Source organism: Homo sapiens, chromosome 6, assembly GCF_000001405.40.
Source record: "Homo sapiens chromosome 6, GRCh38.p14 Primary Assembly".
Lineage (NCBI taxonomy): Eukaryota > Metazoa > Chordata > Mammalia > Primates > Hominidae > Homo > Homo sapiens.
The window spans coordinates 41083731-41095956 of record NC_000006.12 but is presented as its reverse complement, the minus strand read 5'-3'; the positions used below and the strand labels follow the sequence as shown (position 1 = coordinate 41095956).

General features: G+C 38.9%; 2 protein-coding genes across 4 annotated transcripts in view; one reads left to right on the top strand and one right to left on the bottom strand.

Annotated features, from left to right (window-relative positions):
• The window catches only part of OARD1 (O-acyl-ADP-ribose deacylase 1), a 33016-nt gene that overhangs the window by 1831 nt on the left and 18959 nt on the right, over positions 1-12226 (top strand). The gene's annotated exons all lie outside the window — the stretch shown is intronic.
• NFYA (nuclear transcription factor Y subunit alpha) overlaps positions 1-12226 on the bottom strand; it is a 29430-nt gene that overhangs the window by 6447 nt on the left and 10757 nt on the right. For both annotated transcript variants that reach the window (NM_002505.5, NM_021705.4), the window contains 6 exons: positions 11765-11911; positions 6247-6378; positions 5648-5753; positions 4263-4429; positions 2872-3045; positions 1460-1561 (listed from right to left, as the gene is read on the bottom strand). In NM_002505.5, the coding sequence (NP_002496.1) occupies positions 1460-1561; positions 2872-3045; positions 4263-4429; positions 5648-5753; positions 6247-6378; positions 11765-11911 (828 nt within the window). The remainder of the gene's footprint in view (positions 1-1459; positions 1562-2871; positions 3046-4262; positions 4430-5647; positions 5754-6246; positions 6379-11764; positions 11912-12226) is intronic.

Here is a 12226-nt window from a genome sequence, read left to right as displayed (position 1 = left end):
ATCTATTAATTCAAGAAACACTGATTGCTTGGTTCAGAACTGGATACTAAACCCAACAAATACATCTAAGTCAGTACTTAAATACAACTTACTTAAATAGAATTAAGTCCAATAAATATAACAGAGAACGAAACAATCCTCTACCCTCTATACAACTTACAGTCTAGTGAAGGAAACAATCTTGAAAAATTCAACAACTTAAATATTATTACACTGTAAAGAAAAGGGCCAAGTGCAATGGTGTGCGCCTGTAATCCTAGCACTTTGGGAGGCCAAGGCGAGAGGATCGCTTGAGCCTAGGAGTTTGAGACCTGCCTGGGCAACAAAGTGAGACTCCATTTCTACAAAAAATTTAAAAATTAGCTGGGCATGGTGGTGCGTGGCTATAGTCCCAGCTACTCGGGAGCCTAAAGTGGGAGGATCACTTGAGCTGGGAGGTCAAGACTAAAGTGAGCCATAATCACACCACTGCCTCCAAAAAAAGAAAAGATGTTGTAAGAACATACTGAGAGAGAAGAGATCTATTCTAGATAGGGTATTTAATTAAACCCAGACCTAACAGATAGGGAGATAGACATGCATGAAAAAGATAAAGGGCATACAGACTGAAAATTCTAAGGACAAAGACCCGTGGCAGGAAGTAGACCAATGAACAGTAAACAGCAGCATAGAGACCAAGAAGTAGAAATGCAGTTAGAGGTAGACAGGAGCTGGAGCATGTAAGGCTTTGCTGGGCATAGTAGTAAGCACTTTGGATGTCAGTCTAAGTGCAAATGGGAAAGGGTAGGGGTTGAAGGAGCTTGAGCAGAACAGGGACTTGATAGGATAAACATTTTAAAAAGATCACACTAGGATGTGGAGAGTAGGCTAGAGGGGAACAAAAGTGGAAGAAGGGAAACCAAATTAAGCAGCTATTTTATAAATCTAAGCCAAAGAAGAGAGGATTAGACCAGGCTCACATCAGTTAGAAGGGAAAAAAGTAAACATTCAAATTATATTTGTGATGGGGTAATAAAACCTGTTCAATAAAAATAAAACTTGTTCCTTGAAAATTAAGAAAAGTGTGATTTTCAAGAAAGAATGAATAGTAATAAGTGACAAAGACGAAGAGCATCTCAACCCTCCAAGTAGCTGGGACTACAGGCATGCATCACCAGGCCTGGCTAGTTTTTGTATTTTTTTGTAGAGATGGAGTTTTGCCATGTTGCCCAGGCTGGTCTTGAAATCCTGGGCTTCCCACCTCAGCCTCCCAAAGTGTTGGGATTACAGGCATGAGCCACCAAGTCTGGCCTAGTGGTTTTAAGATAAAAGATAATCTAAAGAGACATAAGATTGCATCCAGTTTAGAGAATGTGAGTAGTCCCAGAGTAGGAAAATAGCAAGAGGACACTGCTGAAGGCTTCAACTCAAGTCAATACAAGGTAATAAAGAGAAGAATAAAATGTATATGTCTTCCTACCTGCATATGGGGACTATCCTTTTCCTTTGGAGAGAAAAATCGTCCACCTTCACCACGCTTCCGTGCCATGGCATGACGGTGCCGAGACTCATGCAGGTATTTCTAAAACGAGAAATAAAACCATTTAACTATTAATACTATCCAGAACCAGCACAGTTATCTAGTGCACAAATTCCATTCTCCAAAGTTTAAGACAGCTGGGATCAAAGTCACAAGGGACAATTATGACTTAGAATGACGATGGAAGCTTTGGAGAAAACACCTAGTAAGTAATATAGCTAACCATATATAACTACTGTAAGACTGTGAATGCTTATAGTATGAATTTTTTTTAAAAAAAATAACAGACTACCACCTACACTTCACAATATATACACTTTCCTCTGCTTTAATAACAGGCCAAATTTCGTTTGAGCAAATGAGTGTTCAGTAAAAAGACTTTCCTAGCATTAAAGTTTATTATTATTATTTTCTAGAAACAGGGTTTCACTCTGACACCCTTGCTGTTGGACTGCAGTGGCATGATCATGAATCACTGCAGCCTTGAATTCCTCGGCTCATGTGATCCTCCTGCCTCTGCCTTCCAAGTAGGACTACAGGCATTTGCCACCACACCAGGCTGGACTTTCCTAGCCTTATCTGCATGTTAGGTGTGATCAGGTAACTAAATTCCGGCTAGTGGAAGGTACACAACTTCTTCAAAGTTTCCTTGAAAGAAAGGGTACCTGGCCGGGTATGGTGGCTCACGCCTATAATCCCGGCACTTTGGGAGGCCCAGGCAGGTGGATCACCTGAGGTCAGGAGTTCGAGACCAGCCTGGCCAACATGGTGAAACCCCGTCTCTACTAAAAACACAAAAATAAGCTGGGCGTGGTGGCGCACACCTGTAATCCCAGCTACTCAGGAGGCTGAGGCAGGAGAATCACTTGAACATGGAAGGTGCAGGTTGCAGTGAGCTGAGATTGTGCCACTGCACTCCGGCCTGGATGACAGAGCAAGACTGAGTCTCAGGAAAAAAAAAAAAAAGAAAGGGTACCTTTCTTGTTCCCTTTCTTCCTAGGCTGGAGCCTAAGCAGGAATCTTGGACCATGAACAGCACACTAGCAATATTAAAGCAGTGAAACAGGTCTTGAGAACTGTGAAAATGTGCTACCAGTCCAGGATAATTTATCTCTGGACTACTTTTATGTATGAAAAGGAATAACATCTTATTTAAGCCACTGTTTGTTTTCGTTATTATAACTGCAGCTGCATATTAGTAATAACAAATGCTAACTCTTACAAAAGAGACAACAAGTATCTAACGTCAATTGTTTGGAAGGTACGTGAGAAAACAAGCCATATAAAAGATAATTTCAAAAGTAGAACCCTGCTATTCTCCTTTCCTATATCCTTCCCAATGTTATACATACCCTTCTCTCCTTTGGAATTTTCCCTTCTGCCTCTAGTTTAGCTCGGGCTTGCCTCCTCTTAAGAATACGGTGGTATTGTTTGGCATTCACGTAGAGAGGCTCTTCTTCAAGCATCTCTGCTCCAGGTAGAGGGATTCTTTGGATAGCAGGCACAGAGCCAGCCCCAGGAACCATCTGTGTGAACAGGAAACCAGAGCTTATTGGTGGCATGAAGTATGGACATAGAAACAGTTTCTTGGTTCCTCTTCATCCATTTTTTTTGTAAATGCCACAAAAAGTAATTTTTATAGGGTACTTGGGTAAATGCGGATCCCTGGAGAAATTTATACTAAAGATCTGCACTTTAAACAAACACCCCAGATGACTGTGTCATAGGAGATTCAGGTGCCACTCTGAGAAACTATATAACCATGCCCTAATTCATGTCCACCCATGGCTCTAGATATTTCTGCTGCCATCTAATGGTCAGGAACAGTAGTCATAAGACAAAAAAACAGCACAAAAATAGATAGACCAAGTGCTACTAAATGCCTATATTTATAAAAATAATAGTTAACTTATAATTCAATCCTAATTTTTCTTAAAAAACACCAAAACACTGTACTAAATGTAGGTAAAAACAAGTAACAGAGTCCTGTACCCCACAGCTCTTTCCCAAATACAACCGCTTTGAATAACTGTATTGAATCTTTTATAAAAATTATTTATTTTTCATTCAATTCGTAGAAACGAGGTCTCTCTACATTGCCCAGGCTGAGCTCAAACTCCTGGACTTAAGCCATCCTCCTGGATTAGCCTCCCAAGTAGCTAGGACTACAGGTGCATGCCACTGAGCCAGGGTTGGTTCTGTTTCTTTTCATAGCTTCCTCCACCTCTGTGCAGACTTCTGTTACTCATTCTTAATTTATGCATTTTAACATCCTATTTTGACATATGAGGATTTAGCTTTCAGTTACACCACCCAAATCTTCCTATCTTCCCAATACATTTACATGACACTTTTTTTTTGGTTTCTCTATCAATTACAATCTTTCTAATTTTTAGCTTATTTCTTATTTTGTCCATCATGGGCAATACTACTTTCCACTTCTCAAAGATTAGTATATAATTCCCTTCGTTATTTGAATTCTGAAAAGAATTCCATAAAATCACTATTTATCCATTGCTTTATCTCCAGCATCTAGAATAGTCCCTGGTGAATAGTCCCTGGCACATAGTAGGTGCTCAGAATGAATTATGGTTTGTCATAATGTTATTGTCAAAGTAGATTACCGACAGTGCCTTAAGGATCGATCTCAATCCCAAGAGGTCAACATAATAAATTTTAGGAGGCATCAAGTTGCATGTTCAAGAAAATTTCAAAGACAAAGCTGAAAAATACATTTTCTTACCATGACCATCCCTCCTGAATTGACCACATTGCCTGCCACTGGTAGTGTCACAGTGACAGTCCCTTGCCCACTGCTGGTTGTGTTGGTATTGGCTCCTGTTTGAACAATCTGTGCTCCTGCCAAACTGGCTGCTGGGATAGTGATCATGCCTGAAACAGGGACTGTAACTTTAAGAAAACAAAACATAAAACAAACAAAAAACAGGCACACAGAACAGAAAGAAGGGAACATAGTTAGTCCCTCTTCTATCTGGTATACACTCACCGATCCTGGCAAAACACACTGAAAAACACAAGGGGAGAAAAAGTACTCTCCCACTGTGGTGTGCTATATATAATCTAAGTAATCACAATCTTTGAAATTCTATTAACTGTCTAGGTCCCAGTTTTGAGTAACTCTATCCTTAGCAGTTTTCAAAAGGTGAAAAGGTTTGGAGGCCTCCTCTTCTACAGGTCAGTCTGACTACAGCTATACCTACTGCTCTTGTACATAATGAGCAATCTGCTTCAGGACAGAGATTTTAAAACTTATACTTTGTTTATCTCAAACTGACAATGAGTCAGTTGTAGTATTAAAACTTAAAATTAAACCAAGCATTCCAAGTCCCCAGACTATCAATAGCAGCACTTGAGGATTTGTTCACCATTCTGTTTGAGCTCTTGCCTGGGCTCAATCCAGTTCAGGGCCTCCCTGGAGTAATACAAGAGCACACAGTTAGTGCACTCTCTGGATCCTGTATATTGCAAATTTGCAATCACAAAGTCATGGAATCTAACAAAGATGTCCTTTTTTGATTTAACTATTTGACTAACAGGTGCTTCCAAAAGCCTTCAAGTTCAGTTTCTGCACTCCTCCTCCCAGACCAAACATCTATTATTTATGTTATCTATTCCTAGAACATACTTCCATGAGGGCCCTGCATTGTATTTATTTGTTCACGTCTTTCTTACTAGACTAGAGGCTCTTTGAGGACCCTTCTTAGTAAAAGTGCTGTATACATAATAGTCATTTAAAGTAATGGAATGACCCAGAAAAAAACATAAGCAGCAATAGCACTCTAAAGCCAACTTGATTTTTGATCTATTTCTCTCTTTACCAATGAACTCCCTATTTCTATTCTTCTGTTTAGAAACACTTCTTCCCTAAAAGCTTACACAATCCCTAGATTAGCAACCACTATAGAAACTGCTACACATGGAATCACTGTTGGTCACAGATGGTGACAAGAAACCAACAATCAATGGAGAGCTAGAGGAAATCTTTTTTTTTTTTGTCCAAAAAATATGTAGTGTCAAGTTCACCACTCAAATTCTAAAGATGTCAGTTGTCTAAGGGACAAAAAAGTTGCCCCAAAAAGTCCTAGGGAAGCTTATGGGTACACTTACCTTGCTGGAGAATGGTGCCATCTGCATTAACTGGTTGATAGACGATGGTCTGCCCTTCAGCAGTCTGTGCCACTTGCTGTCCCTGGACAGCAATCTGCTGCTGTGTCTGGAGGAAATAAGTAATGACACAATTCAACAGATCCCAAAGATACTAACAAAGAACGATGTAGTCCTTAAAAAAAAAAATTATTTTTTTGAGACAGAGTCTCACTCTGTCGCCAGGCTGGAGTGCAGTGCAGTGGCGCAATCTCAGCTCACTGCAACCTCCGCCTCCTGGGTTCAAGCGATTCTCTGCCTCAGCCTCCCGAGTAGCTGGGATTACAGGCATGCGCCACCATGCCCACCTAATTTTTGTATTTTGACGGGGCTTCACCATGTTGGCCAGGATGTTCTTGATCTCTTGACCTTGTGATCAGCTTGCCTCGGCCTCTCAAAGTGCTGGGATTACAGGCATGAGCCACCGCGCCCGGCCAAAAATATATTTTTTTATGGTTTTCATCCCCTTTTCTACTATACATGCTATACATGAAATATCTGACTCAGTTATCTGACTCTTCCAAATCAGTTTTGCTCCTGTGTGACAGAGCTAGTGGAATTACCTGAGTCTGGCCAGCAGTGACAGCCGTCTGGGGCTGCTGGATGATGATCTGCTGGGTCTGGCCCTGCTGGCCCTGCACCTGCACAGCCTGTCCACCCTGGATCTGGATCTGTCCAGGTGGGACCAACTGTATCTGCAGAAAAGAACATAAAAAAAGGATTGTACTCTACTGACACTGGTCTCCTTTGGTCCCCGAGAGTTATCCACATTTCTCTAGAAAGCAGAAAATGTTCTGAAGAGGAAAAAAGAAGTCCTGCTCTGCCCTCCATTATGAAGTAGACACAACTTATTTTCCATTTATGAAACAAATAGGGAATTTCGACACTGTCTGGATACCTGATATTAACAAATCAATGTCGGTTTTTATGAAAGATAGCAGTGGTATGATTATATATATTGAAAAGCATGCATATTTAAAATACACTCTGGGCTGGGTGTGGTGGCTCACGCCTGTAATCCTTGCACTTTGGAAGGCCGAGGTGGGTGGATCACTTGAGGTCAGGAGTTCGAGACCAGCCTGGCCAACATGATGAAACCCTGTCTCTACTAAAAATACAAAGATTAGCCGGGCATGGTGGTGCATGCCTGTAATCCCAGCTACTTGGGAGACTGAGGCCGGAAAATCACTTGAACCGGAGGCGGAGGTTGCAGTGAGCCGAGATCACGCCACTGCACTCCAGCCTGGGCGACAGAGCGAGATTCCGTCTCAAAAAAATAAAAAAATAAAATACACTCTAAAGTGCTTTATTATTATTTTTTAATCTTGCCATTTTGGTGAATGATGAAGTACTTTTTTACAGAGGAAATACTATATATATTAAAAATGCTGAAAGCCGGGTACAATGGCTTATGCCCATAATCCCAGCACTTCAGGAGGCTGAGGCGAGCAGATTAGGTCAGGAGTTCGAGACCAGCCTGGGCAACATGGCAAAACCCTGTATCTACTGAAAAATACAAAAATTATCCAGGCATGGTAGGACATGCCTGTGGTCCCAGCTACTTGGGGAACTGAGGTGGGAGGATCATTTGAGCCTGGGAGGCAGAGGTTGCAGTGAGCCAAGATCCGCACCACTGCATTCCAGCCTAGGCAACAGAGCGAGTAACTGTCTCAAAAAAACAAACAAAGAAAAAACCCAAAATGTATTCTACTCTAGTCAAATGTGACTGCAGCCCAGGACAACACCTTGATAAGGGCCTTGAGAGGACCTTGAAAGAATCCAACACAGCTGTGTCAGGATTCCTAACTCACAGAAACTATAAAATAAATTTTTTTTTTTTTTTTTTTTTTGGAGACGGAGTGTCGCTCTGTGGCTCAGGCTGGAGTGCAGTGGTGTGATCTTGGCTCACTGCAAGCTCCGCCTCCTGGGTTCATGCCATTCTCCTGCCTCAGCCTCCCGAGTAGCTGGGACTACAGGCGTCCGCCATCACGCCTGGCTTAATTTTTTTTTTGTCTTTTTAGTAGAGACGGGGTTTCACTGTGTTAACCAGGATGGTCTCGATCTCCTGACCTTGTGATCCACCCGCCTCGGCCACCCAAAGTGCTGGGATTACAGGTGTGGGCCACCGCACCGGCCAAATGTTTGTTGTTTTAAGCTGCTAACTTCTAGGATAATTTGTTATATGGTAATAGATAATTAAGGCAATGTGACAGATTATATTCCTCCTATTAGTTTCCAATTACCAATACTCACTACTGTCATTAATGTTTGTCAAATTTTTGTTGATTTAATTTGTATCTCCTATTTGGTCCTAGGATTGGATAGCTAAACCTTATAAAGCAATTATGGAAAGCAAGGGATCGTGTGCTATCCAAATCTATCTTCTTTCTTTTTTTTAATGGCTATAGCCACTTTATTAGGAGTGTTATCAGAAACCTGACAAGAAGCTTGAAAAATATTTCTCTAAATTTTGGAACTAAAAAACTGCAATACAACCCTTTAAATGTTGGGTGTACAAAATCCTATTTTCATATAACTAGTGAACACTTTTTTTTTTAAGTGCAAAAGAGAAAGCAGTGAGGAGAGCCCCATAGCTCAAAATGTCTTGTATTTTATATTCAAGAATACCTCCCAAACTTAAAAGCCAGAATACATGGCTAGTACTAAGTAACCTTCTCTTTGCTTCTTTGACCATTAATTCCATCAACAAACTTTTTTTATTTGAGCATTGCTTCAACATAGATGGCAGTCTGGAAGGAGGATACTTTCAGAAAGATAGATTTTTATAGCCAGGTCACTTTCCATCCATAATTTCAACTTGGGACCACCTTGGTCTGGAAAGAAGAACATGCCTAGAACCTTAAGTTATCACAAAGTCTACCAGCTGATAGGAAAAAGGACTACTGATGGAAGGAAGGTGAAAAAAACAGGTCAATGGGTTCCATGTCTTAGAGACATTCATGGATCCTACTTTGTTAGGGGATAGATTGCCTAGGTCTTCTGAATTATTTTTTCCAAATACTCAGCTCATAATTGGCATTCAGAAAGTATTGGCAAATAAATAAGTAAACAAATTTATCTGGTTATGTGAACCAACTTCATTTCTAAGTTTATATTGGCTGTTAGGATTTCCTCTTCCATCTATTCATATTCTTCGCCCATTTTCCTATTTTTGTATAAATACATAAACGTTATTTATACATATTCTGAATACAAACTCGGTTGTATGTATTAAAAATATCTTTTCCAAGTTTTCACCTTGTTTACTTTTATTTGATGTATTTCAATGCATATTATGTTTTAGTCAATTTGTTTTTAAAAATATCCTTCTCTATAGCATAAAAATTCTTATATTTTCTTTTGAATTTTCCAAGTTTACTTTTCTACATTTAGATCTTTAATCCACCTAGCAAATATTTTTTAAAATACAGTATGAATTAGAAATCAGTTTCTTTTCTGTATCATTCTTCAGCCATTTCTTCATTGATATGTTTATACCACTTTTATTATATGCCAACTTCCAATATTCTTCTATCTATTTCTTGGCTGTCTCTCTGGTTCCAGTATCTTTCTCAGGCCAAGGATTTTAATCTAAAATTATATGCAGAATTTTTCATGAGACTGGACATCTCTACTTTTTCTTAGAGGGTGCAAGCTTTACTAGGATTCTAAAATAGAGAATACAATTCAAAAAAGGTTAAGAAGTAGTCTTCTTTAAAAAATGGCTACTCAACACTAATGAGAAAAAAAACTCCTATACAAAGGGGATTAAAGCCTTAAGTATTGTAAGGGAGGCTATGGAATCTCACCTAGAGAGCTTTATTTACGTAACAGAATATATTTTTTTCAGCTTGGTTAGTTATAGCCCTACTTGGAAGCAGGGAAATAACTATTTGAAGGTTCCTTATAGCAAAATAAAACCCCATAAAAATCACAGAATTTAGAGCTAGAATGAACCCTAGATATCATCTCATATAAATTTTATTTTTGGATGAGCAAACCGACAATTAAATAACTTGGCCAAGATCAGAATGCTTATTTAATGGCAGACCTGGTAATGAAAGCTTGGACCACTACACTCACAGTATACTGTTCCTAACTATACCACATTGTCTCTACTCAACAGTGGAGAAGGCGCAGCAAGGGGGACTGGAGAGGAAGCAAAGAGAGAAGAACAGAAAGGATATAGCAATAGGGAATCAAGGAAAGCACATGCTGAAAAGATATTTAAAGCCTCATATATTTATGCAAAGAGAAATGTGAAAACTATTTTTAATCCCAAGTACAATTCTATCTTGGCAAAAATATGCCAGTGGGCTCAAATATACTCTTACCCTTTACCCAAGCAATCCCCAATCCAAAGAAATTATCCTGAGAATTCAGTTGAAAAATAAAACTATCGTGCCCAAATGTTTACCTACAAAGGCAAATGAAAACCAAAATCCTTAACTATATTTTATAAATTAGAAATTCTGATTCATCAAGTTGACTGAACATTATGAAAGAATTAAAAAAAAAAAATGAAAACACAACCCCACATGCATGGTACAATTATGCCCAAAAATTATGCATAAAAACACAAAAGAATACACAAAAAGTACAAGTTTGATTTATGAGCAGTGGGATCATGGCTGCTTTTTTCAACTTAAATTCCTCCAGAAAACTAAGACATTAATATGACTGCTGTAACTGTTGAAACAATATAAACATTTAGATAGAGTAACTAATAGTTATCTCATACTCTCTTTTCCATGACTATAAACATATACTCATGGGGGGTTGGTTATGAATTACAAAGATGAGATCACACACTATTTCTCTGCAAATTATTTCCACTAAAAATATTTCAATATTAACCCACCCCAAGTCAACAGTTCATTTCTTTTAATGATGATGCAATATTCCCTATGAATATATTATGATTTATTCCAACCATTTCCTTATTCTTATTAATGGACACTCAGATTGCAATTTTATTTTTTGCTAGTACAATGCTATGAAAAGTGTCTTTGTAATTTCCCCCTACTATTGATGCTTTTCTTCCTATAGGACAGATTCTCAGAAGTGGGACTGCTAGCTCAAATATTCATTGTATTTAACAGATAGTGAGGTGCCTTTCCAAAATAACTCTACAGTTTTAAATTACCAAAAATAATGATTAATTCTTTTTCTCCACATCCATCCTAACAGTGGATATAATGACTTTTTGTTTTTTTTTGCCATCTCGATGAGAAATATCTAATTTTAAAATATGATGCCACAGAGTTGTATGTAACATTTCTACATATTTCTGTTAATCTCTTCTTTTTTTTTGAGACAGAATCTTGCTCTGGTGCCCAGCCTGGAGTGCAGTGGCACAATCTTGGCTTACTGCAACCTCCGCCTCCTGGGTTCAAGATATCTTATGCCTCAACCCCCCAAGTAGCTGGGATTACAGGTGCGTGCCACCACGCCCGGCTAATTTTTTATTTTTAGTAGAGATGGGGTTTTGTCATGTTGGCCAGGCTGGTCTTGAACTCCTGGCCTCAAGTGATCCACCTGCCTTGGCCTCCCCAAGTGCTGGGATCACAGGCATGAGCCACTGCGCCTGGCCTTCCTTTAATCTCTTCTACATCTTTGCTTACTTTTGTTTTCTGTTTCTCAATCAGTGTTTCAACTGGATTTACCTGTTTTATTGGTCTGCTTAAACAATCTAGATTTTATTTATCCTTTCTATACGTCAGTTTTCTACTTAATTAATTTGGACCCACTTTTTGCTCGTTTTGTTATTTTTCTAACTTTCTAAATACTCATTTTTGTTTCTTTTAAAATAAAATATACTATAAACTAGATTCTAACCTCTTCATATACTTTACAGCAATTCAAGATCATGCCTAATATCTTAGTCATTACTGGAGCTGTCCAATTTCTGCATAGTTCTAGTTTATATCACTGGTACTATAAAGGCAGAAAATCAACTGAATGCAAAATGTGGGTTAGGAAGCAGTTAAATGCAATATCAATTATCAAATAGGTTGTAATAATCTATTCTTTGAAACCTCTCCTCTGATATACTGCTCAATATTTTTAAATATTACTCACTTGCTGCAAACCCTGTGTTCCAGAAACAGGTACTTGCATGATGGTTTGACCTTGTCCACCAGGGACAGCCTGGACCATGATGGGTTGGCCAGTTGATGTGATTAGCTGGCCTCCACTGACCTGCACCATTAATGGCTGCCCTTGGACCTAGAATGAAATAAAATAAGAACAATGAAATAACATAAGACACAAAATGGTTTTTACCAAAAGACAATCACTGGAACTATTCTGCTGCCTTGCTAGAAAAGGAAAAGGTAGAAAAGACTAAGAAAATATATGTCTCAAGTCCTCAAGTTATCTTTAAATATCTATGAATCCTGTTACTAAATGCCAAGCTCAATACTTTAAGGTCAGACATAATGGAGAATATCCAGAGTCTTTGAGAAGTCTCAATAGATATAAGGCATTTGTCACCAAACACGGGCTAAATCCATGACAAACATTTAATCATAATGGCAAGGT